The sequence below is a fragment of the Homo sapiens genome, chromosome 3, assembly GCF_000001405.40.
Source record: "Homo sapiens chromosome 3, GRCh38.p14 Primary Assembly".
Lineage (NCBI taxonomy): Eukaryota > Metazoa > Chordata > Mammalia > Primates > Hominidae > Homo > Homo sapiens.
Window position 1 is genome coordinate 195,186,798 of NC_000003.12, and position 23,893 is coordinate 195,210,690.

General features: G+C 44.7%; 1 protein-coding gene across 5 annotated transcripts in view, besides 3 other annotated features; it reads right to left on the reverse strand.

Annotated features, from left to right (window-relative positions):
- The window catches only part of XXYLT1 (xyloside xylosyltransferase 1), a 202,876-nt gene that overhangs the window by 118,514 nt on the left and 60,469 nt on the right, over positions 1-23,893 (reverse strand). The window lies entirely within an intron of this gene.
- Positions 863-1,378: an enhancer, noted in NCBI's record as "H3K27ac-H3K4me1 hESC enhancer chr3:194908389-194908904 (GRCh37/hg19 assembly coordinates)". NCBI's record gives its function as "activates a minimal SCP1, AML or CMV promoter by ChIP-STARR-seq in naive H9 embryonic stem cells {active_cell/tissue: H9 hESC(naive)}" and the evidence as "EXISTENCE:reporter gene assay evidence [ECO:0000049][PMID:30033119]".
- Positions 19,901-20,428: an enhancer, noted in NCBI's record as "H3K27ac-H3K4me1 hESC enhancer chr3:194927427-194927954 (GRCh37/hg19 assembly coordinates)". NCBI's record gives its function as "activates a minimal SCP1, AML or CMV promoter by ChIP-STARR-seq in naive H9 embryonic stem cells {active_cell/tissue: H9 hESC(naive)}" and the evidence as "EXISTENCE:reporter gene assay evidence [ECO:0000049][PMID:30033119]".
- Positions 20,429-20,954: an enhancer, noted in NCBI's record as "H3K27ac-H3K4me1 hESC enhancer chr3:194927955-194928480 (GRCh37/hg19 assembly coordinates)". NCBI's record gives its function as "activates a minimal SCP1, AML or CMV promoter by ChIP-STARR-seq in naive H9 embryonic stem cells {active_cell/tissue: H9 hESC(naive)}" and the evidence as "EXISTENCE:reporter gene assay evidence [ECO:0000049][PMID:30033119]".

Here is a 23,893-nt window from a genome sequence, read left to right on the forward strand (position 1 = left end):
CTCACAGGTGAAACTGAATAAATCTTTGCTGAGTGAGTGAAGTGCTGGTGATAACCTCTCCACGGACCTGGGCCCTCTAACCCACAACACTGGCTGAAGTTTTTTTTTTTTTTTTGAAACAGACTCTTGCTCTGTCACCCAGGCTAGAGTGCAGTGGCGCGATCTCGGCTCACCGCAACCTCCACCTCCTGGGTTCAAGTGATTCTCCTGCCTCAGCCTCCTGAATAGCTGGGATTACAGGTGCCCACCACCGTGCCCAGCTAATTTTTATATTTTTAATAGAGACGGGAATTAGCCAGGCGTGGTGGCGGGCGCCTGTAGTCCCAGCTACTCGGGAGGCTGAGGCAGGAGAATGACTTGAACCCGGGAGACGGAGCTTGCAGTGAGCAGAGATCCCACCACTGCACTCCAGCCTGGGCCGCAGAGCAAGACTCCATCTCAAAAAAAAAAAAAAAAGATAGAGACGGGGTTTCACCATATTTGTCTCGAACTCCTGACCTCGTGATCCACCCGCCTTGGCCTCCCAAAGTGCTGGGATTAAAGGCGTGAGCCACCATGCCCGGCCAGCTGAAGCTTTGCTTCTCACTCCTCCCAACTGTCTCTTCTGTGTCCCTTCTCTTGATACCAGCCTCCACTGTTATTATTAATATTCATTCAATTTTTTTTCTGAAAATTCCAATTTATCTGTATAGTGCTATGAGGAGCCCTAAGAATACAGTCAATCAATCAGACAGGCAATCTCTTCCTAATAACTTGTCCTAGTGTTTACTGGAGCGACTGAAGAGCTGAAACATACAGAAGGGGAAAGAAATGGGATTCCACCCCTGGACATTATTCCTTTAAGCTTCTTTGATTTTAATTGCTTTGCATGCACATTGAGGTAGAGTCCCAGTTGATTGAAACTTTTTTCATTTGCAGCTAGAAGTGAATGATTCAGGCTGCATTCCACCGAACATGCTCTTAATATTATGGAAAGACCCGGGGCTGAGGACATGCCTGGACATGATTAACAAAGTTGTGCATTTGTAAATTAGATGATTTCCAGGAAATATTTAAAACCTCCCTTTCTTCCTAAACACTTCAAAGAGGTGTCCTTGTTTATTTTCAACCTTTTACCCCCAACCTTTTTTTTAAAAAAGTAAATCCCTCCTCTCTCACAAAGTCTCTACAAAAGAAAGCCACTGTGATATGAAATCCATCCAAAGACATGAGTTCAACTAACGTCTCAACGAGCTTGCTTGGCTCTATATTTAGATGTGAGAGTAAACATCTGACTCTGGAGAAGGACTCATCCCAGAGACACCACTCCTGAACAGGAAAAAAGTCTAGGGGATGGAATTAAATTAGTTTAGCTCCCAAAAGAATAGTTAATAGAAACAGTCTCTAACCAGCTAACCACAAATATAGGATTTGCTCTTTACTCCTTGGAGAAGAAAATCCAGGGAGTGAGGCTGAAACAATCCTCTGTGCTGCCCAGAGGTAGGGCTCAAACACGGGACCAAATTGAGGACTGGCTAAAACAGGTCTGGAGTGGGAACAGCTTTCCATAAGACACACCCACTAATGTGCCATGTCAGTTTAGCATTGCCATGGCAACAACCTGACAACCAGAAGTTACCACCCTCATCCTAGAAATTTCTGCATAAACTGACCCTTAATTTGCATATAATTAAAATGGTATAAATATGAGTGCAGAATTGCTGCTGAGCTGATACTCTAGGCATGCTGAGTGCTCTAGGTACTCCTCAAGGAGCAGTACCTCTGCTGCTGCTGTGTACTGGCCATTTCAATCAAAGTCGCTGCTTAACACACTGGTGCACTCTCGAATTGTCTCCTATGAGGAGCCAAGAACCCTCTTGGGCTAAGCCTCAATTTTGGGGCTTGCTTGTCCTGCATCATAACTGCTAGCTCCCATATCTGTCCACTGGGTGGTATCTCAGAATCAGAGACTCTCAAGGTTGAATGGCAACATTTCTTCCAATTTCCACACCACTGCTCCATTTCCCTCCACAGCCAACTTTGTGTAAACATTAAGCACTTACACAAAAATTTTGTGACAACATGACAGAGATGCAGAACCAGGAGGTGCAGCCTCATACAGTAACATCCGATGGCTATGGGTTTAAGCTCGGCGCTAGCTTTCACCAGGTGTGTGATCTTGAGTCACTAGATTTCTTTGAGCCTCATTTTCCTCACACAATGATAATACCAAAGAATAAGAATACGCATATCCATTGAGCACTTACTATGTGCCAGTCCCTACACTGAGTGATTTACATTGATTAACTTATTCAAATTTCCCAAGAGCTTTATGAGGTGGATACTATATTATTTCCATTTATAGAGTAACACATGTGACTTGCCCACTAAGCTACACAGACACCAGGGCAACCTCTAGGAATCCAGGGTTTAATTTGATTTTAAAATAAAAACCAAATTATTAAAATAAAAACAAAAGTTTAAAAAAGTACTAAGCAAAGCCATCAATGACCACACATTGCAAGTGAGACAGACATCATAACTTGTCCCAGACAAGTTACAAAACAAACAAAACAGCAACAACAACCATTACAGGGAAAATACCAGAAATCAGAGTTTGATATAATAGCAAAACATCCAATTTTCAACAAAAAAGGAATTATAAGAGATTTAAAAAATAGGAAAGTGTGACCCACACTCAGGAAATAAAGCAGTTAATCAAAACTATTTTTTAATGCATTCAGATGTTGGATTTAGCAGACAAATGCTAGAGTTAGTTCAATAACTGAAATGAAAAGCTCACTAAAGGGACTCAATGGAAGATTCAAGATGGCAAAAGAATCAATGAACTTGTACATAGATTAAATAGAAATTATCCAGTCTGAAGAATAGAAAAAAAGTCAAAGAAAAATGAACCAAGACACCTGTGGGACAACTTCAAACATACCAATATACATGCAATGGGAGACCTAGAAGGAGTGGAGAAAGACAAAATAGGTGAAAAAAATTTGTAGAAAAAAATGACAGAAAATTTCCCAAACTTGATGTAAAACATTAATCTGCACATCCAAGGAACTCAACAGACCCCAAGTAGGATAAATACAAAGAGTTCTATACCTAGACACAGTATAATCAAACCTGTGAAAGACAAAGAGAAAGAAAAAAGTCTTGAAAGCAGCAAGAGAAAAACAATTCATTATGTACAAAGGCATTTCAATATGATTAATGGCTGCCTTCTCATTAGAAACAATGGAGACCAGAAGGCAATGTGATGACATAAAGTATTGAAAGCAAAAAGCAAAAAGAAAACATCAACCAAGAATTCCGTATCTAGCAAAACAATTCTTCAAAAATGCAAAAAAAAAGAACATTTCTGTATAAACAAAGACAGAGAACAAACTGTTTGCAGATTTACCTTATAAGAAATACTAAATGAGGCTGGGCATGGTGGCTCATGCCTGTAATCCCAGCACTTTGAGAAGCCAACGTGGGTGGATCATTTGAGGTCAGGAGTTCAAGACTAGCCTGGTCAACATGGTAAAACCCCACCTCTACCAAAAATACAAAAGTTAACCAGGCTTGGTGGCGTGCACCTGTAGTCTCAGCTACACAGGAGGCTGAGGCAAAATAATCACTTGAACCCAGGAGGCACAGGTTGCAGTGAGCCGAGTTATGCTGCTGCACTCCAGCCTGGGTGGCGAAGTGAGACTCTGTCTCAAAAAAAAAAAAAAAAAAAAAAAAAACTAAATGAAATCCTTCAGGCTGAAAGGAAATGATGGCAGATGGTAACTTGTGTCCACAGGAAGAAACGAAGAGCACCAAAAATTTTAAATATATGTACTAATATAAAAGATTGAATATATTTTTCTCATTTCTTAACTTTTTAAAAAGATGTGTAAGTTTGGATAAAGCATAAATTACAACACTGGGTTGTTGGGTTTATAACGTATATAAACATAATAAATATGAAAATAATAGTATGGAAGGGGGAAAGAATGGCGCTTTACGGGAGCAAACTTTCTGTTTTATAGGAATTAAGTTATTAATCTGAAGTAAATGGTGATAAATTAAAATGCATATTGTGAGCCCTAGGGAATCACAAAAAATGACTTTAAAAATACAGTTAAAAAATCAAAAGAAGAATTAAAATGGTACACTAAAATATACTTATTTAACACAAAAGAAGGCAATCAAAAAATAACAGAGGTACAAAAAAGAAGGCATATAGAAAACTAATAACAAAATGTCAAATGTAAACCCAGCCAAATCAATTAATTATATTAAATATGAATGATCTCAACACTCTTAAAGAAAGGCAGGGATTATCAGATTGGATTTTTAAAAAGTATACTTAAACTACAGTTGACCCTTGAACAATACAACTTTGAACTGTGTGGATTCACTTAAACATGAATTTTTTTCAATAAAAGTTATACCAAGTGTGCCTACCTCTCCTGCCTCCCCTTCCACCTCCTCCACCTCTGCCACCCCTCAGAAAGAAGACCAATCCCTCCTTTTCTCTTTCTTCTCATTCTATTCCACATGAAGATGACAAAGATAAAGATCTTTATGATGATCTGCTTCTACTTAATGAATAGTAAATATATTTTCCCTTCCTTATGGTTTTCTTTAAAAAATTTTCTTTTCTCCAGTTTACTTTATTATAAGAATACAGTATATATGTAACATACAGAATATGTGTTAATTGACTGTTTATGTTATTGGTAAGGAACCAAGTCAAAAGTAGGTTATTAGTATTTAACTTTGGGGGAAGTCCAAAGTTATGGGGGGTTGGCACCCCAATCCCCATGTTGTTCAAGGGCCAACTGCATAAACTATCTACAAAGGACACACTTTAGATTCAAAGACACAGACAAGTTTAAAGTTTAAAAAAATGGACAAAGCTATACCATGCATACAATAACTATACAATAGCTTGAGTGGCTGTATTAACAAGAGACACAACAGACTTTACAACAAGATCATTAGAGAGAGACATTTTAAAATTATAAAAGGGCCAATACATCAAGAAGATTTAAGAATTACATATGCATACGCACCTAAAAATAGACCTCCCAAATCCATAAAGCAACAACAGAATTGAAAAGAGAAATAGAGAATTCAACAATTATAGTTGGAGATTTCAATACCCTACTCTTGATAATTGATGGAACAGAATATTAGCAAGGATGCAGAAGACTCAATACAATCAAGCAACTTGACCTAACTGACATATATGGAATACTCTACCTAATGATTGCAAAATACACATTCTGCACATTGAAGAACACACAGAACATCCATTCCCTGAGACAGACTACATACTAGGCCACAAAACAAGTCTCAATAAATTTAAAATGTTTGAGGTCGGGTACAGTGGCTCATGCCTGTAATCTAGCACTTTGGGAGGCTGAGGCAGGTGGATCACTTCAGATCAGGAGTTTGAGACCAACCTGGCCAACATGGTGAAACCCGGCCTCTATTAAACAAATACAAAAATTCGCCAGGTGTGGTGGCATGCACCAGTAGTCCCAGCTACTTGGGAGGCCGAGGTTGTAGAATTGCTTGAACCCAGGAAGCAGAGGTTGCAGTGAACCAAGATCACGCCACTGCACTCCAGCCTGGGTAACCAAGTGAGACTCTGTCTCAAGAAAAAAAAAAAAATTAAACAATTTATCAATTCTTCAAAAAAATCTTTCAGAAAAGGAACACTTCCCAACTCATTCTATGAGACAAAAGAGAGCACAAGAAAACTGTAATTCCTAAACTCTATCTATCAATACAAAAAGAATTACATAGAATAGCTAAGTGAAGATTTATCCCAGGAATGCATGGCTGGTATAACATCTGAAATTAATGTAATACCCACAGACAATTGTCATATGTAAATTGTGAGAGACTGAATCCTTTCCTCCTAAGGTTGGGAACAAGGCAAGGACGTCTGCTATTGCCATTTCTATTCTACACTGTCCTAGAAGTTCTAGCTAGTGGAATAAGGCAAAAAATAAAATGAATTAACTAAGCAATTGATTAATTAAAAGCATCAGATTGGAAAGGAAGAAGGAAACTGTCTTTATTTACAGATGACATAATCCTGTATGTTAAAAATCTCAAGGAATCCACACAGAAAAAGGAGTTTAACAAGGTTTCAGGATATAAAATCAATCACACTTCTATATACTAGCAACAAAACAATCAAAAAAAGAAATTCAAAAAAATCCATTCCTGGCCAGGCACGATGGCTCACACCTGTAATCCTAGCACTTTAGGAGGCCAAGGTGGGCAGATCACCTAAAGTCAGAAGTTCAAGATCAGCCTGGCCAACGTGGTGAAACCCTGTCTCTACTAAAAATACAAAAAAGTTAGCCAGGAGTGGTGGTGTGCGCCTGTAATCCCAGCTACTTGGGAGGCTGAGGCAAGAGAATCGCTTGAACCCGGGAGGTGGAGGATGCAGTGGGCGGAGGTCACACCACTGCACTCCAGCCTGTGCCACAGAGCGAGACTCCGTCTAAAAAAAAAAAAAAAGCCATTCCTAAAATAATAAAATACTTAGGAATAAACTTAATAAAAGGAGTACAAGACTCGCATACTAAAAACTGCAAAACACTGCTGAGAAAACTAAAGAAGATCTAAATAGGTGGAGAGACATTTCATGTTCATGCATTGGAAGCCTCAACACCGTCAAGATGGGAATTCCTCCCAGACTGATATGTAAATTACTATCAAAATCCCAGCAGACTTTTTGGTAGAAATTGATGAATTGATCCTAAAATGTATATGGAAATGCAAAAACTTAAAAAAGCCAAAACAATTTTGTATAATAACAAAGTTGGAAAATTCACACTACTTGATCTTAAAAATAACTACAAAGCCACAGAAATCCAGACGGTGTGATACTGGCACAGGAAAGGCTTATAGATCAATGCAATAAAATTGGGAATTCAGAAATAAATCCTCACATTTATAGTCAATATATTTTCAACAAAAATGTGAAGGTAATTATTATTACTTATCACTATTGTAATTCAACGGGTAAAGGACAGTCAATTAGATATACAAATGCAAAAAAATTAATAAAAGAAAAGAATTTGGACCTTTATCTCACATCATACATAAAAATTAACTCAAAATGGATCATAGATCTAAATGTAATAGCTAAAACTATAAAACTTCTAGAAAACAAATGTTGCAGGAGAAAATATTCCTGACCTTGGGTTAGGCAAAGAATTCTTAGATAATGACACAAAAAGCCCTATCCATACAATAAAAAAATTGATAAACTGAACTTCAACATTAAAAATTTTGTGCATAAAAAATAAATCAATATTAAAATGAAAATAAGCCACAGACTGGGAGAAAAATATTTGTAAATCGTATATCTTATAAAGAACTTGCATCCAGGTTATATAAGGAATGCTTGCAACTCAGTAATAAGAAGACGAACACCCCAATTAATATATATATTATATATATATAAACAACTCAATTATATATCTATTCAGATATTTCACCAAAGATATGCAAAGGGCTAACAAGAACATGAAAAGATGCTTCACCTGACTAGTCTTTAAGAAAATGCAAATTAAATGAGATACCTTTATACACTCCCAGAATGGCTGTAGTAAGAAGACTGACAATAGCAAATGTTAGAGAAGTTGTGGAAAAACTGGAGCCCTCATGCCTCCCAGAAGGGAATATAAATGAGTACAAGCACTTGAGAAAACAGGCAGTTTCCTACAAAGTTAAACATAAATTTCCCATATGACCCAGCAATTCTACTCCTAGGAATTTACCCAATAAGAATGAAAATATATGTTCACACAAAGATAATGCTCACGACAGCATTATTCATAATAGCTCCAAAGTGAAACCGGTCCAAACGTCCATCAACTAACAAACACACGAACAAAACGTGGGACAGCCACACAATGGAACACTGTGTAACAAATTGAAAGGAATAAATGACTGATACATGCTACAACATGGATGAACCTCAAGAACAACATTATGCTAAGTAAAGAACCCAGGTGGAAAAGATTACATATTATATGATTCAATTTACATGAAATTACCAGAAAGGGCAAATTTAGAGAACCAAAAAGCAGATCAGTGATTGCCCATGGCTAGGGTAGGAGCAGAGATTAACTTCAAACAAGCAGAGGAAACATTTGGAGGAATGGAAAGGTTCTAACACCGAATTGTGGTCGTGGTTACATAAACCTATAAATTTACTAAAACCACAGAATTGTGCATTTGCAATGGATGAATGTGATGGTATAAACTGTACCTCAACAAAGCTGGGTTTTTTTTTTAAAAGGACAATGTACATAAAAATTCTCTTTAAACCATAAAACAGCAGCTGTTACTACAATGGTTGTTGACGTTAAATGCTATGGAGGGCCACTGAGAACCCTCCAGTGATAAAGCTGGCTACCGTTCTCATAAATGTTCTCTTAAGTGAATTCATATAAAGCACTTAGAACAATGCCTGGGTCTCAGTAAGCCTTCTGTATTAGCAGTTATTATTATTACAGTCATACTCAATGTCATTGCTATTACCAGCAAGACATGCCTGGCTTGAAGTGCTCTGAGAAGGTGGCCTGGCTTCCCCAGGGGTGACCACCACGGATTCCTTCCTCAGAGTCGCTCAGGCGCCTAAGACTGTTCCAGTCAGAAGTCCCACTGAGAAGTGGCCGCAGTTCTTCCACTGGACAGAGCCTCTTTCAGCTTTAAAAAAATAAAAGGACTCTCTTTTCTGTGTGTTCCTTTGTTCCTGGAACCATCTAGATCCCTGGGGAGAGGCTACCCGTGGTTTGTTGTAAATGAAAGAGATTCATGAATGAAAAGCTTTTGTGCCCTGGTCCCTTCACTCTGGCAGTTCCCCTACTGCCCAGCCCGGGAACTCCATTCATACAGCTCTCAGGAACAGCTCGGAGGGCCCGGGCAGTGCCGTGCTGGGAATGCTCTTCCTGCACCCCAGCTGGAGCCCCTTCCAGCAGGCTCACCCCTCTGGCCTGCAGGAGTTCAGCACCGCCAGCCACACCTGCCATGGTCTAGACACAGTCCTGTTGCATTGAAGTATCCAATGAGCTCCAGTGAGCCTGAGCCTGGTCAGGACCTCCAAGTCACAGTCCCTCTTTCTCCTCACTGCCTCAGTCTCCCTGCCTGGCACTGCCATTCCCTCCAGGCTAGCCCGAGGCTGCAGCCTGCTTGCCCAGGTCACCTGCCACTGCCAGTCTCCAAGGCCCCTCAATGTTGGCTTCTTCAATCACCCAGGAAGCAGCCAAGCCCTGGAGGACAGCGCCGTCCAGCAGAACCCTGTGCCTGATGGAAACGCTCCGCACCCGCACTGTCCAATAGAGTAGCTGCTAGTCACATGTGGCTACTGAGCGCTTGGAATACAGCTAGTGTGACTGAGGAGCTGAATTTTTAATTTTCTTTACTTTTAATTAATTAAACAAAAATGGCCACATGTGGCTAGCATCTGTCCTATAGGACAACAGAGTTCTGCCAACTGAAAGTGGCCTTGCCATCCTGCAGGGTGCGGCAGGAAGCAGGGCAAGATGCTCCCTAGCCCTGTGGCACTCACCCTGCCCTATTCCCCACAGCCTACAGGGTCCTGCCTCCTCCCCATCCCCGCCAGCATCACTACTGGGCCAACAACCCCGACATGTACAAATAGTACCCCTGGGGCAATAGGTATGCCCCCTCAGAGCTGAGCACTGCTCCTGCAGTCAGCCTTTCAGCAACAGATCTCAGGGGAAGAAAACATAACACAGGCAGATAGGCGGAGAAAGAGACCAGAGATGAGTCAGGCAGGCGATGAAAACATAGGGAGGGAGAAAGGAGGCCTCTGCCTTCTCTGTTTAAATCTGAAAAAATAACCTGCCTGGAATTTTAACTTGCTTGGGATGCAAACTCAGGAGACCCAACCGTGTAAAAGCAAATGTAACAGGATAAGAAAAGAAGATAACTGAAAACGGCTTTGTACAAATTAAAATGCCAAAGTAATAAGGAATATTGGATGAGACAAGACTAAACTGGCTATCAATGTTGGCTGAACAAGTGACAAGTCATTAATTGTCACTTCCTTTAAAAAAAAAAAAGTAGCACATTTGAGGACAGGCAGAGCAGTTAGCAGGAGGAAAAATATTTTACACTGGGACTAGTATATCCTTTTTAAAACCCGGTGTTGTCAATTACCTCACAGCATAACCACCCTGGATAGGAAAAAATCAATATGCACCGAGGCAATTATCTTCTGCACCTCTTGGTACTGAATTGGCAATGAGTTTTCATGGCTCAATTAGCTTGTAACTTAAAACAATAGCAGCTAGTCTCCATTTTCCTCTGGGATATTTATTTACAACAAAAATGTGGCCAGGCACAGTGGCTCACGCCTGTAATCCCAGCACTTTGGGAGGCCAAGGCCAGTGGATCACCTGAGATCAGGAGTTTGAGACCAGCCTGGCCAACAAGGCGAAACCTCGTCTCTACTAAAAATACAAAAATTAGCCGGGCGTGGTGGTGCACGCCTGTAGTCCCAGCTACTCGGGAGGCTGAGGCACAAGAGTCACTTGAACCTGGGAGGCAGAGGCTGCAGTGAGCCAAGATCGCGCCACTGCACTCCAGCCTGGGCAACAGAGTGAGACTCAGTCTCAATTTAAAAAAAAAAAAAAAAAAAGCTATGTTATTTCAAAGTGTCTTCAAAGGACAGACTGAGAACCAAATATTAGTGGCATTATAGTGAAATGTTATTCTGATAAGTATCCTTGGGAAATAATATTAAGAAACACTATGTACCTAAAGATGTTCACAAGCATCATAGTATGGCATCATAAAATGGCAAAAAATTGAAACTATCTAAACAAATTAAAGTCCTATAAAAAAGACAACTATATATCCCGTCCGCTCAGGATCACAATTCTCTGCTCCAGCGAAGCTGCTTGTTCAAGTCACCAATGACCTTCACATTGCTAAATCTAGTCCTCATCCTACTGACCTGCCATCAGCGTTTGACACAACTGGTCAAATACTCTCTCCAGAAACACTGTCCACTTAGTCTCACACATTCCCCTCTAGGCCAGCAGCTTATGGAAAAGCGAACCAGAGGCTTCCTTCCCAAGGCTAGGGAAGAGCTCTACTGGCCTCACCCACCAGTTAACTTCTGCACGAGCTGGAGAGACAAGCTGAGTTCAGCTGCGCCTGGCTCACACGCTAATCGGGCTTCACCCTCGGCTCTCCCCTATCCATGAAATCGGACTAGCAGAAGTGTGACTTATTCACAACAGAAGATAATCCAATAACCACTCAACTGAGGCTTGGGGATAGAGCATATATGAGGTTTACTCAATTCTGTCTGGCTTGGGTTATAAAAATTAAGGTGCATTTCCTGACCATGGAGCAAGTACTGACACAAACATCTCAGAAGTATGCTTGGGAAGGAAGGGATGCAAACTCAGGGAGCAATATTGGCATGGGTGATTCATAAAAAGGATGAGTAACTTGAAGGAGGAAGTAGATTCAAAGAGAAGACTCATGCAAAGTCGAACTTCTCTTCCCACTCCCCCTGAGTTTCAAAAAAGAGTCAGTCAGGAACAAGTTGTCCGGGCACTTCATCCCGGAAGGCCAGGGGCCTGAAGAAAGTTCTAGGCCATGCTATATCCACAGTAAGAAAAGCCTCTTGGGTACAAATATTCAAGGGCCTGGGAGTCAGGGGAGCTGGGATGTAAAAACTTCCCAACCGAAGCCACCCTAACAAAAGCAATAACAGCAAACGCTTACATGGTACTTATCCCGTGTAAGGTATCATCTAACTCCATATATTAATTCAATTAATGTTCACAAACTGATAGTATTATTTTCCACTACTAAGTGGCAGGGCTGCATTCAAACCCAGGCAGTGTTTTTTCAGTGCTCGTAACTATTATGCAACACACAACAAAACCTTCAACTATGAACACCTCTATCACCAGAGAACCGTTCTACAGTGTTCACAAGGTCATGGCACCCGCAGTTCTTGACAGCCATTTCAATGAAAGTCACTCTTTCATCTCAGGAAGCAAAATATCCCTCCCCTCACCACTGAGAATATCAATTGCTTCGAGAAACGCAGACAAGAGTGGCAGAGTTCTCCGACGGGAAGGCAAAAACCAATTCTCAAGTTAATAAGTAAATATTGGGAGGCATTTTGCCAAGAACACTGGAAAGAACAAACCTCTATAATAATCAGCTGATGGAGACTTGCTGCTTAGAAACAAATTTTGATCAACTGCATTACCAGGGACTGAAAGGAATCTGCAGGCTGAATGAAGGGCTAGGATATGTGGGTATGATGGCTGGGCCCAGGGAGTCAACATAGGATAGGAATGAGCATGGCCCGCAGGAGAGGCCGTGTGGGCAGGGCTAGGAGTCCAGACCCAACAAGCTCAGTCTGTTTCCCTGGCCACCGGCTCGAGGTTCCCATCATTACCCTGGGAAAGAGGAACTATCCAAAGCTCCTCCAAATCTCCTTTGCGGTTGCGTATGCCTACATATAAAAAGAATCTTTTTGGGCCGGGCGCGGTGGCTCACACCTGTAATCCCAGCACTTTGGGAGAGTGAGGCAGGTGGATCACAAGGTCAGGAGATCGAGACCATCCTGGCTAACACGGTGAAACCCTGTCTCTACTAAAAATACAAAAAATTAGCCAGGCATGGTGGTGGGCGCCTGTAGTCCCAGCTACTCATGAGGCTGAGGCAGCAGAATGGCGTGAACCCGGGAGGCGGAGCTTGCAGTGAGCTGAGATCACACCACTGCACTCCAGCCTGGGTGACAAAGTGAGACTCGGTCTCAAAAGAAAAAAAAAGAATCTTGTTGCTACCTTCACAAAGGCCTAGAGCTAAGGAGTCTCATAGGGGTTATCATCTATCTGCTCCCATCAGGATTCCAGGTACTCCCAAAGATGGCTGTCCTGACAAAAATCAGGCTGCAGAGATTCCCCAGCCTCGCAGTGCACTTGTGTTGGGCCTTAGATAAGTCCTTTCCCTTCCCTGGGTCCCATGTGTCCACTGAAAATGAGAGCATTAGACTTATGAGCCATGATGGCGTTTCCCCAACTGGTGTTTGGGAAACAATGGTCTGTAAGTCATTTAGGATAATGTAGAAAGGAGCATTCCATGTCAAGTTAAGTTGGGACCTGCTGGTTAGTCAAAGCTAAACAGACTTCCTAACTGCCATTCTTCTCAAAATCTCCAGCATGATGGTGTACACTGTGACCCTCCAAGAAGGGGATTGGAAGCTCTGTGTATCCACATATTTTTCCATCGCTGCTTTTCACATTTCCCATAAAGATCTTTCCTGGAACCTGCCATTTAGGGGATGCTGCTCTGCAAGACCTTCCAAATCTCGCGCTCTAGAAAGCCGTGAAGCAGCGCGGTTCCAGATCTGGCGCTCTGGAAAGCCGTGAAGCAGCGTGGCGAAGCACCCAGGAGCTGTAGTCATTCTGCCTGGGCTTGAACTCCAGCTCTAACCAGCCAGCTGGGTGACCCTGGCCATGTTACTTGAGCTGCTTCTTTATCTGTAAAATGGGATAAATGACCATTCCCACTGCCAAGGGTGGATTACATGAGATAATTCATCCAAGCACACAGTGGGTTCACTGGTAATAATAGTGGTGGTGGAAACAATGGTACTGGAATTCCATTGCTTCTCTGGAATCAAGCCTGGAAAATGCTTCTCCCAGTACTTACTAAAAGACATGCAACAGGACATAGCACTTGCCTTTCATGACCAACTTGGCTCCTCCCAGGCAAGGGCTTTGGCGACCAGGGTTCACTGACCTACAATCGGTTGACTCACATGAACACCCTCACAGCCTGTGCAGGGCAGGAATCTAGGACTATACTGCAACATGCCCCAAACCTGGAAACATCTGTCTAAATTAGGCGGGAAGAAGTGCCAAACAGGTTTACTGTGGCCCCATCAGTTACTCGTTAGTTTAATGATGGCAGTCACTCAGTAGAAAGAGCTGTGGGCCACAAGAAGGAATGCTGGGCTCTGGCCTGTGGTCCAACAGGAGCTCACGGGTCCGCTGGCTCCATCCTCTACCGTGAACAACCCCTCAGGTCTCAGTCTCCCCACCAGTAAAGTTTAGAAGTGAAGAAAATCAGGTTCTCAACTAGAGATGTACATTGAAGTTACCCAGGGTGATTTTCTTGAAATAACCCTGTCCCAGCCCAACCCCAGACCTACGGAGTCAAAAATCTCTATTTTTACTGTATATAAATTTTAACTCAATTTAAAAAAAATCTCTGAGTGCTGGAATCCAGGCAAAGTATTTGATAAAGCTCTCTGGGTAATTCTGATCCATCATCTTGTTCAGAGCCACTGGCCTGGATAACCACAAGCACCTCTCCCAGAATCTTCTAAGAAGTCACTGGACTTCGAGTTCCTCTGTGAAGAGAGTGTCTAACCCACTGCCTTTTAAATCAGTAGCTAGACAAGGCCAGGATTTCCCTAGAGTGCATGTGAGGAAGGGCCCTTGCTCCCAGCAAAGAGGTGCTCTATCTATCCTGGGGTCCCCAGCACACACTTTTAACCCTTCTGCTTCTGGGACATTCCTTACAGCTGCCTGTGTCTCTGGGGGTCCATCTCAACCTCTGCCTTTAAGTCATCCCAATGTATTCTCAAACCTGTGCCAACAAAAGCAAGACTCAGACGCTCCTCTCAAATTCTATACTCACTTTATCCCAAGTCCTATCTTGAGGCTGTTCCTTGTTGATGATCCCATTTCCGTCCCTCTGGACTCAGAAACTGTACTGGAGCCTCAGGTTTCTCTGAAAAGGCTTGGGCTCACTCCAGTGGCTTTTCACGCTTTTGGCTCTGCCAGATAAAACACCCATGCTGGCTGGCCCCTCTAGACCCAACTCCCAGCTGGGCAGATGTACACATTTCAGGGACCATCTAAATTTCACAGGACCTGAGTGCCCAAGGGATAAAGGCATTACAACCTGAGGCCTAGAAGGTCCCAAAGCCATGGTATTATGATTAATTCCAAGTTTGGGACTTAGCTGCTCCTCTGCTCCTCCCCTCCATCCGCACAGGAAACCAAGAGCTAACCGACAACTAAGACTAGACAGGGCCGGGCGCGGTGGCTCACACCTGTAATCTCAGCACTTTGGGAGGCCAAGGTGGGCGGATCATGAGGTCAGAAGTTCAAGACCAGCCTGACCAACATGGAGAAACCCCGTCTCTACTAAAAATACAAAAATTAGCCAGGTGTGGTGGTGTGCACCTGTAATCCCAGCCACTCAGGAGGCTGAGGCAGGAGAATTGCTTGAACCTGGGAGGTGGAGGTTGCAGTGAGCCGAGATCGTGCCACTGCACTCCTGCCTGGGCAACAGAGTGAGACTCCGTCTCAAAAAAAAAGAGTAGACAAGGACTGACGGAGGCCAACTTCAGACTTGGTCTCTGGAGCACTGAACCCCACTTTGCTCCAGTGTTGTCAGAACAAAGAACTATAGAGACACTGTCCCCCAGTCACACAGAAACAAAAGATACCAACATTGAGAACTAATCCCAAAACAGACAATGGAATAGGGCAGAGATTGCAATATTATCTTAAAGAGACCAACTAGGTCCCTGGCCAAAAAAAAAAAAAAAAAAACTGACAGTAACCTGATAGAATAATTAACAAATCTAAAAACGTGTCAATCCAAAGATGAACAGAACCTCAAAACCACATGCTGTCCAATATTATCCAGTAGAGAGAAGACTTGGCCATAAGCTTTAGAACATTCTGGTTCCTCTACCCACCATCTTTCTTCAGCTTTCACTGCCACATATAAAGACTGCCATGTCTACCAGCAGCCCCAGAAGGTGAAAATCTGGGACCCCTAAGAATACTTGTTGATTTGGGGTCCACAAGCCCAAGCTAAGAGGATATCTTGAGACTATCCGATGCATAGTTTCCAGTCCTCTGTATCCAGAGATAGCCACTTAGGTCATCTTGGAAGAAGAATTATTTTAGATAAATTCAGAGAAGATAGTAGGCCATAACTATTCTTAAGGACAAGAGTAGTTCATTTCTCTGTTAGCACACTACAATTCACAATGTAGAAATCACAAGATAATTTTTTTTAATAATCTTGGAATGAAGCCTTTTCTAGGTGTGACACAAAATCTAAAAGTCACAAGATAGACCTGACAACACAAATTAAAAAAAGAAATTTTGTATAGATGGGCTCTCACTATGTTGTCCAGACTGGGCTTGAACTCCTGGCCTCAAGCAATCCTACTGCCTCGGCCTCCCAAAGTGCTGGCATTACAGGTGTGAGCCACCACACCTGCCCACAACACAAATTTTTTAAAAACCTTCATAGAAAAAAAGTTAAAAGACTGCAAAAAAAAAATGTTTTCAACGTATTTCAGGGACAAAAATGCTTATTTCCTTAACAAATACAGAGCTCCTTGAAATTACTAAACATCAACAACCCAATAGAAAAATGGGCTAAGGGCATAAAGAGTTCATAGAAAAGAAATTCAGTGATTCTTACCATATGAAAGGAGATCCAATTTCACTCAAAAGAAAGGAAAGAAAACTTAATATTCTATAATGATATATATTTCACCTATCAAATTGGCCTGTACCCACCCCTTCACCTCACTGAAAATCCCTGGGGGCCCACATATCCTTCAAGACAGCAGCAGACCCCATGCCACCCCCAGGCTTGGGACTGACAGCAGTGCAGAGAAGGAACATGCAGGCACCAGAGAAAACCCACAAAAGAAGTGAATCGAACATTAACATCTCCCTCTGTAAAACACAAAGAACAGAGCTCTAGCCACCACTCAGGCCTTTAAAGTAAGGAGCAAATGGCCTGACAGACACATTCTCTCCACTGTGTCAGTGTCTCTCCAGCAGGATTCCTCCGCCCAGTGTTTTTGCCATTGGCCTATTATTTATTCCTCACAGCCCCTTGGAGCAGTGTGCTGGGACTGTCATCCTCCATGCTGATGGGGCTGTGAGGCCAGGCACTGCTGTGCTTCTTGTCTGAGGTCATCAAGCAACTTGGGGACACATTAGTCAAGTCAGCCCCCGGAACAGAGGCTGAGACGAAGGTGGGGGCATCAGTTGACAGCTCAGCAAGGGAGAAGAAAGGCTGATAACCAACTGAGGAAATGACGGTCATGTCAGACACAGCCCTAAAGGAGGCGGCGAGGCAAGTGCTTTTAAAAAGCCTCAGGTTTTTGCTTCTAATAGAGCTTAGAATTCACCACACATAGTGTTAGAGAAAACTATCATTGGCCGGGCACAGTGGCTCACGCCTGGAATCCCAGCATTTTGGGAGGCTGAGGCAGGTGGATCATGAGGTCAGGAGTGCGAGACCAGCCTGGCCAGGATGATGAAACCCCATCTCTACTAAACATACAAAGATTAGCCGGACGTGGTGGCAGACGCCTGTAGTCCCAGCTACTTGGGAGGCTGAGGCAGAAAACTCGCTTGAACCCAGGAGGCAGAGGTTGCAGTGAGCTGAGATTGCACCACTGCACTCCAGCCTGGCGACAGAGCAAGACTCTGTCTCAAAAAAAAAAAAAAGAGAGAGAGAGAGAGAAAACTACCATCATCTTAAGCAAAGCTGGCATGGGTCTGTGGCTAAAAGGTCCTCGCTTTCTCTCTCCCTGACACACACACGCACACACACACACTCACTCTCTCACTCTCTCTCTCTCTCTCTCTCTCTCTCTCAGTGGCATCTTCGTGTTCCAGTCTGAACTGCTGGCCAGCCAGCCAGCCAGGTCAGGGATGAATGACAAGGTGGCCCAGAAGACCAGTCCTGGCAGCCACAGTGGCCGTGCCGAAGCCTGGTCTGTGCAGGGACTGTGGTCTTCATGGGTTGCTCAGGCAACTCAAGTATCTCACTACCCACAACCCGCAATGTGCTGCAGAAGCCAAGACGAACTTCATTAACACGCTTGACCTGTGGCAACCCTCATGACCCAGCAGCCCTGCAGAATCCAGCCAGGCTAGGAAACGCAGGGGCAGACAGTGAATAAATGTCTACAGCCCTCCGCTAAGATTCTGTGACACTGTTTTCAGATACACCCACAAAAAGGAAGCACTAATAGACCCAGCTGGGGACAGTTTATAAAGCAGTTTCACATGCAAGATAATCCCAATCACGCAAGATCATCAGAGCACAAATTTTCCTCCCCAGTTGCGAAGTCAGAAAATAGAGGTGGAGGGAGAGAGGACCTCTGGTTTAGAAGGGACTTGAGAAACACTCAAACATTGCTGTTGGGATTTTGCCAAACTCTGGAAAAGTCTGCCAAACTCTGGCAAATCGCCAAACTCTGGAAAAGTCTGCCAATTTTTTATAAAATGAAACAAGTAACTACCAAAAGACCCAGCTACTGTACTTTCAGGCATTTATATCAGAGAAATAAAAATTTATGTCCATACAACAAAATGCAGCTTTATGCATACTAGCCGCAAACTGGGGACAACCAAGCTGTCCTTAAATGGATGGTTAAGCAAACTGGTATATTCGCATGATGAAATACGACTCAGCAATTAAAAAGTGAATTACTGACACGCAACAACTGGAATGAACCTCTTGAGGATTATGTTGAGAAAAAAGGCCTATCTCAAAAGGTTACATACTTTAGGATTCCATTGATACACATTCTTGAAATACAGAAATGAAGGAGGAAATTAGTGGTTGCTACGGGTCAGAGGAGGTGGGTGTGGCTGTAAAAGGCAGCACGAAGGATCTTTGTGGGGATAAACGTTCTCAGCTTGATGGTATCAAAGTCACTATCCTGGCCGGGCACGGTAGCTCATGCCTGGAATCCCAGCACTGTGGGAGGCCGAGGCGGGTGAATTACCCAAGGTCACGAGTTCAAAACCAGCCTGGGTAACATGATAAAACCCTGTCTCTACTAAAAATACAAAAATTAGCCAAATGTGGTGGCAGGCGACTGTAATATCAGCTACTCGGGAGGCTGAGGCAGGAGAATCGCTTGAACCCAGGAGGTGAAGGTTGCAGTCAGCCGAGATCGTGCCACTGCACTCCAGCCTGGGCAACACAGCAAGGCTCTGTCTCAAAACTAACAGACAACAACAACAAAAACAATATCCTGGTTGTTGTATTTGCTATAGTTTTTGCAAGATGTTACCACTGGGGGAAAGTGGGTAAAGGATCTCTGTATTGCTTCTTACAACCTCATGGTAATCTACAATTATCTTAAAATTTAAAGTTTAATTTTTTTTTTTTTTTTTTTTTGAGAGGGAGTCTCACTCTGTCACCCAGCCTGGAGTGCAGTGGCACGATCTCAGCTCACTGCAAGCTCTGCCTCCCGGGTTCACACCATTCTCCGAGTAGCTGGGACTACAGGCCCCCACCACCACGCCCAGCTAATTTTTTGTATTTTTAGTAGAGACGGGGCTTCACTGTGTTAGCCAGGATGGTGTCAATCTCCTGATCTCGTGATCCACCCGCCTCGGCCTCCCGAAGTGCTACGATTACAGGCGTGAGCCACCACGCACGGCCTAAAGTTTAATTTTGAAAGAGAGAATGGGAAAGACTCAAGAGTCAACCAAATGAAACATGTAGTCAATTCAAGAATGTGAATCCTGCATGGATACTAGATGGCAATAAGGTGATTATTTATTGTTAGTTTTGCTAAATGTAATAAAAATAGCGCATTTAATACAAATAGTACTTTCCAGCCAGTTGCGGTGGCTCACACCTGCAATCCCAGCACTTTGGGAGGTCGCGGTGGGAGGATCACTTGAGGTCAGGAGTTCAGGACCAGCCTAAGCAACATGGTGAAACCCCATCTCTACTAAAAATACAAAAATTAGCCGGGCGTGGTGGCACGTGCCTGTAATCCCAGCTACTCAGGAGGCTGAGGCAGGAGAGTCACTTGAACCTGGAAGGCAGAGGTTGCAGTGAAAGATTTGGCCATTGCACTCCAGCCTGGGTGACAGAGCAAGACTCCGTCTCAAAAAAAAAAAGTACTTTTCTGTTAGAGAGACTTATCAAAATATTTAAAAATAAAATAAGATCTGGTATTTGCTTCTGGGGGAGAAGGCGATGGGTGGGAGTCGAGATGAAAAGGGGCAGGCCATGAGTTGGTAACTACTGAAGCCGGTGATGAGTACACAGGCATTCATTATGCTCTCCTCTCTCCTTCTGTGGATATTTGAAATTTTCCATAATAAAAGGTGGAGGGGGAAAAAAAAAGGCCCACGGAGGATGTTCAGTGCCTCGCCATCAGTAAGAGAGAGAAACAAGGCTTTAACCTGGGTCTTCAGACCCTTCTACCACAGGCTGAGCCAGCCTGGAAGAGCCACGAGGGCAGGTGAGGAGCTGCCCCGGGCAGACTGTGGGATGGCTCGCGGGTCTGAGGAGCGCCTGGGGCATCGGGCCTGCAGGTCCCATGTTGTTGCTCCCTAATCAGCATATGGTGTGCAAAGCAGCCCCACACACAGTTGGTGGCACTGCAGATGGAGGCCACCAGGCCCGGGAGACTCAGCTACATCAGAGATGCCACACGTCTGGCTGGGCAGGAGGGCTCCAGGAAACAGCCAGCCCTGCCCTTCTTCAACAGAGGGTTTGGAGGTTCTCAGGCAACAGGAAAACAGTGACTTTATTCTACTCACCTTGGAAAGTGGGACCGACAGACAGGCCTTCTGTTATGTGCAAGATGTTCTACCTTGTACAAGAGGTGTACACTCTATGGAAAAAAGATAGCCTTGCTCAAATACCACATCCTCCTCAAAGCCTTCCCCAAATTCCTTAGCCAAAGGTGCCGCCTCCTTGGCACTTCACAGCTCTCTCTGTGCTGAGATCCCCTTGTATCAGTTACCTACTGCTGCATAACAAGTTAACCCAAAACTTAGCAGCTGCAAACAACAAATATTTATTTATCTTACAGATAAATAAATAAGCTGTAAGATAAATATGTTATTTATCTGAGACAATTCAGGCAAGCTTAGCCTCTGGCCCACGGGCTGCAATCAAGGTTGGCTAGGGCTCAACTATGTAAAGACTCAATTCCCCTCTCACTCGTGTGGCTGCTGGTGGGCCTCAGATCCTCCCTGGCTGCTGGCCAGAGACATCAGTTCCTCACCATGCAGGCCTCTCCACAGGGCAGCTCATATCATGGCAGCTGAATTCCTCCAGGCAAGGCTCAGAGAGAGAGACAGAAAGTGCCCAAGACAGAAGCAGCAGGCTTTTATAACACAGTCCCAGAGTGACAGGCCATCACTTTTGCCAGATTCTATTCACTAGAAGCATGTCAATAAGTCCAGCCTACATCAAGGGACAGGGACCCACCAGGGCACGACTCCTAGGAGGCAGGGATGACCGGGGGCCGTGTTAGAGGCTGCCCACCACATACCCCAACAGAGGTGGTATTTGGATGACACCTATTCCTTTCTTTTTTGTATGACAGGTGTTTGTACATTTATGTAAATGTCCAATTCCCCAACTAGAAAGTGAAGTTGTGAGGGCAAACCGCACATCTGACTCACATCTGTTCCCCTCCCCTCCTGTGCCTAGCACAGCACAGCATCCAGTCTCGGTGTCAGCTCTATATCTGAGAGTGGCAGTCAGCCCACCTGCCCACTGCCCACACGCCTGCCGAAGAGGCCCAGCTGGCTGCGTGTGGCACCACATGGTCCCACCTGCTCTGGTCCTGGCTGACTGGACCAACCACAACAAAAAAAATGAACAACGTATGACCTGCAGGCTGGCCTATGGGAAAATACCAAGAGACAACGCTCGTGACGGGAAAGTCACAACAAAGGCCATGCAAGCTTCAGTTCTGCAGGAACAGAAAAGCACATTTTTAGAAGGCAGCTGTAGAGAGGAGAAAATAAAGAAGTGTAGACAGAAACAATTATTCCATTAGAGAAAGAGAGAGAAGAAATCACCAAAAGATGGGTCCCAGAGCTACCCCTAATAAACCCTCTGTCACTGAGCTGAGCTGCATGAGTCCCACTTTCTCACGGGGGAGCGAGGTGAGGGAAAAGGAAGGGCAGACAAAGAGCGTCCAGAGTCCCCGGGAGGTCACTGGGCGAGGGCCACGACACCCAGCAGGGGGCTTGCAAGAGGAGTTTCCTTGAGGTTAGCTCCCAAATCAGCTCACAATCAGAAGCTCACTCCCATCCTAGGTGCCGTGAATTCTCCAAATTTCACAGGTCTGTGATTAAGGACTATGACAAACCTTATTATGTGATCAATGATGCTTTAAAAGAAAAAATACTGTACCTGACTCCCCCAACCCAAGACAGAAGGGAAGCCATCGCCCACCTCCCCTTACGTGGCTCACTCGCCTCTCAGGGGGAAGCTATCTCCCAGAGTGTAAGATGCCAGTGGGGTTAGGACAGGAACCGGCTCACCCTGTTAAGAAGCCAGTCCTCACTAGGGCAAGAAGCCTGTATGGAGGACAGACAGAGGAAGTGCAAAAGCCAAGGGTTAAGGCAGAGGAGACCTACGCCAGGTCCCCGGAGACAAGCCGCTCTCAAACTGTCTTGTCATCGAGTGCCACACCCGCTGGACCCCACTCACGTGGTGGAGTCACTCCGCTGCTGCGTGCTCCTGTCCACACAGGGTGGGAATCCTCCTCACCCCCTCGGCCCCATCAAGGGCTTTCAGATTTTACAGAAACGTTCCGGCTCTTGCCATCTCAGCCACATCAGGCCCGACTTAGGACCCTCTGGGACCTTTACAACCCCAGAGGTCAGTGTCAGGCAGCCCCACCGAAGCCGCACACTTGGGCCCTCCTGACAGGCAGAGCCGGTGACAGGGCTCGGGCGAGGCCTTCAAGCCAGAACGGAGAGCTCAGCAAGCCCAGGCAGTGGGACGGCAGAGTGTGGGTCTGAACCAGAGAAAAAGGCTGCAGCACAGGAGGGATGACCGGGGAGCAGCAGGAACGCTGACCAGGAAAACCCGCCAGGCAAGGGGAGGCCGGGCCCACACCCTGCAGCCCACTCTCTCTGGAGGCCCAGCTATCGCCCGGAATATTCCAAAGGCTATCCAGAAGCCAGAGTAAGGGGACAGAAAACGGAAAAGCAGGCCCGAGACTCCGTCCAAGGCGGCTGACCAGCAGGACCTGGCCATCAGCAACTACACACAGGACTTGAGTACAGAAATGAGTCTTCTCCAGCCAGGGACAGTGCACAAAGTTCGGGACAAAGAGAAGACGCTCAGCAGAGTCAGCCCCAGAGGCGGCTTGGCAAACACACCAGAGGGACACACAGGGATCTGACACCATCTGGGCAGCAGCAGCTGCAGTCCAGGCTGAGGCCCCGGCCGCCCGCACACCCTGGCCCAGAATGCCTGCTCGGCCCCTCCCCCAGCCTTCACCCCAAGCCTTCAAGGCTAACCTCTCCTCATCCTCCTCAAAGCTTCCTCTCTGTGCCCTGACAGAACTGACAGCACCTGGTGCATTCTCCGTGCAAACAACCCCCACACCCCGCTGAAGTCAGGACAGGACAGGACGCTGCTCTGCTGACCTCTCGCCTCTTGCTCCCTGTGTGACACCCACTCACTTGGGGTCCCTCCACCAACCGGAAGGTGAGCTCCCCAAGGGCAGGACTGCTGTCGTGCCCCAGTGCCCTGAACACAGTGGGCAGGAGGACGGACTCCTCATGGGTGAGGCGAGGCCCAGAAAAAAGTTGGCTGACGTCCTGGCAAGAAGTAATAAGAGCCAGCTGATGCCTTTGACCGATAGCCAAGAATTTAAAAGAAGATCTTGACAAATTAAAAGACAGAATCTAATGAAGGGGACCAAAACGGGAAATATTACTGTTCAACCAATTTGGCAACTATTTTCATTAGCTTAGAAAGAGCTTCTGGCATTAAATTAGTAGAAAATGGTCTCTACCACGTTACTATTTTTAGCATTTTATGACAAATTTGC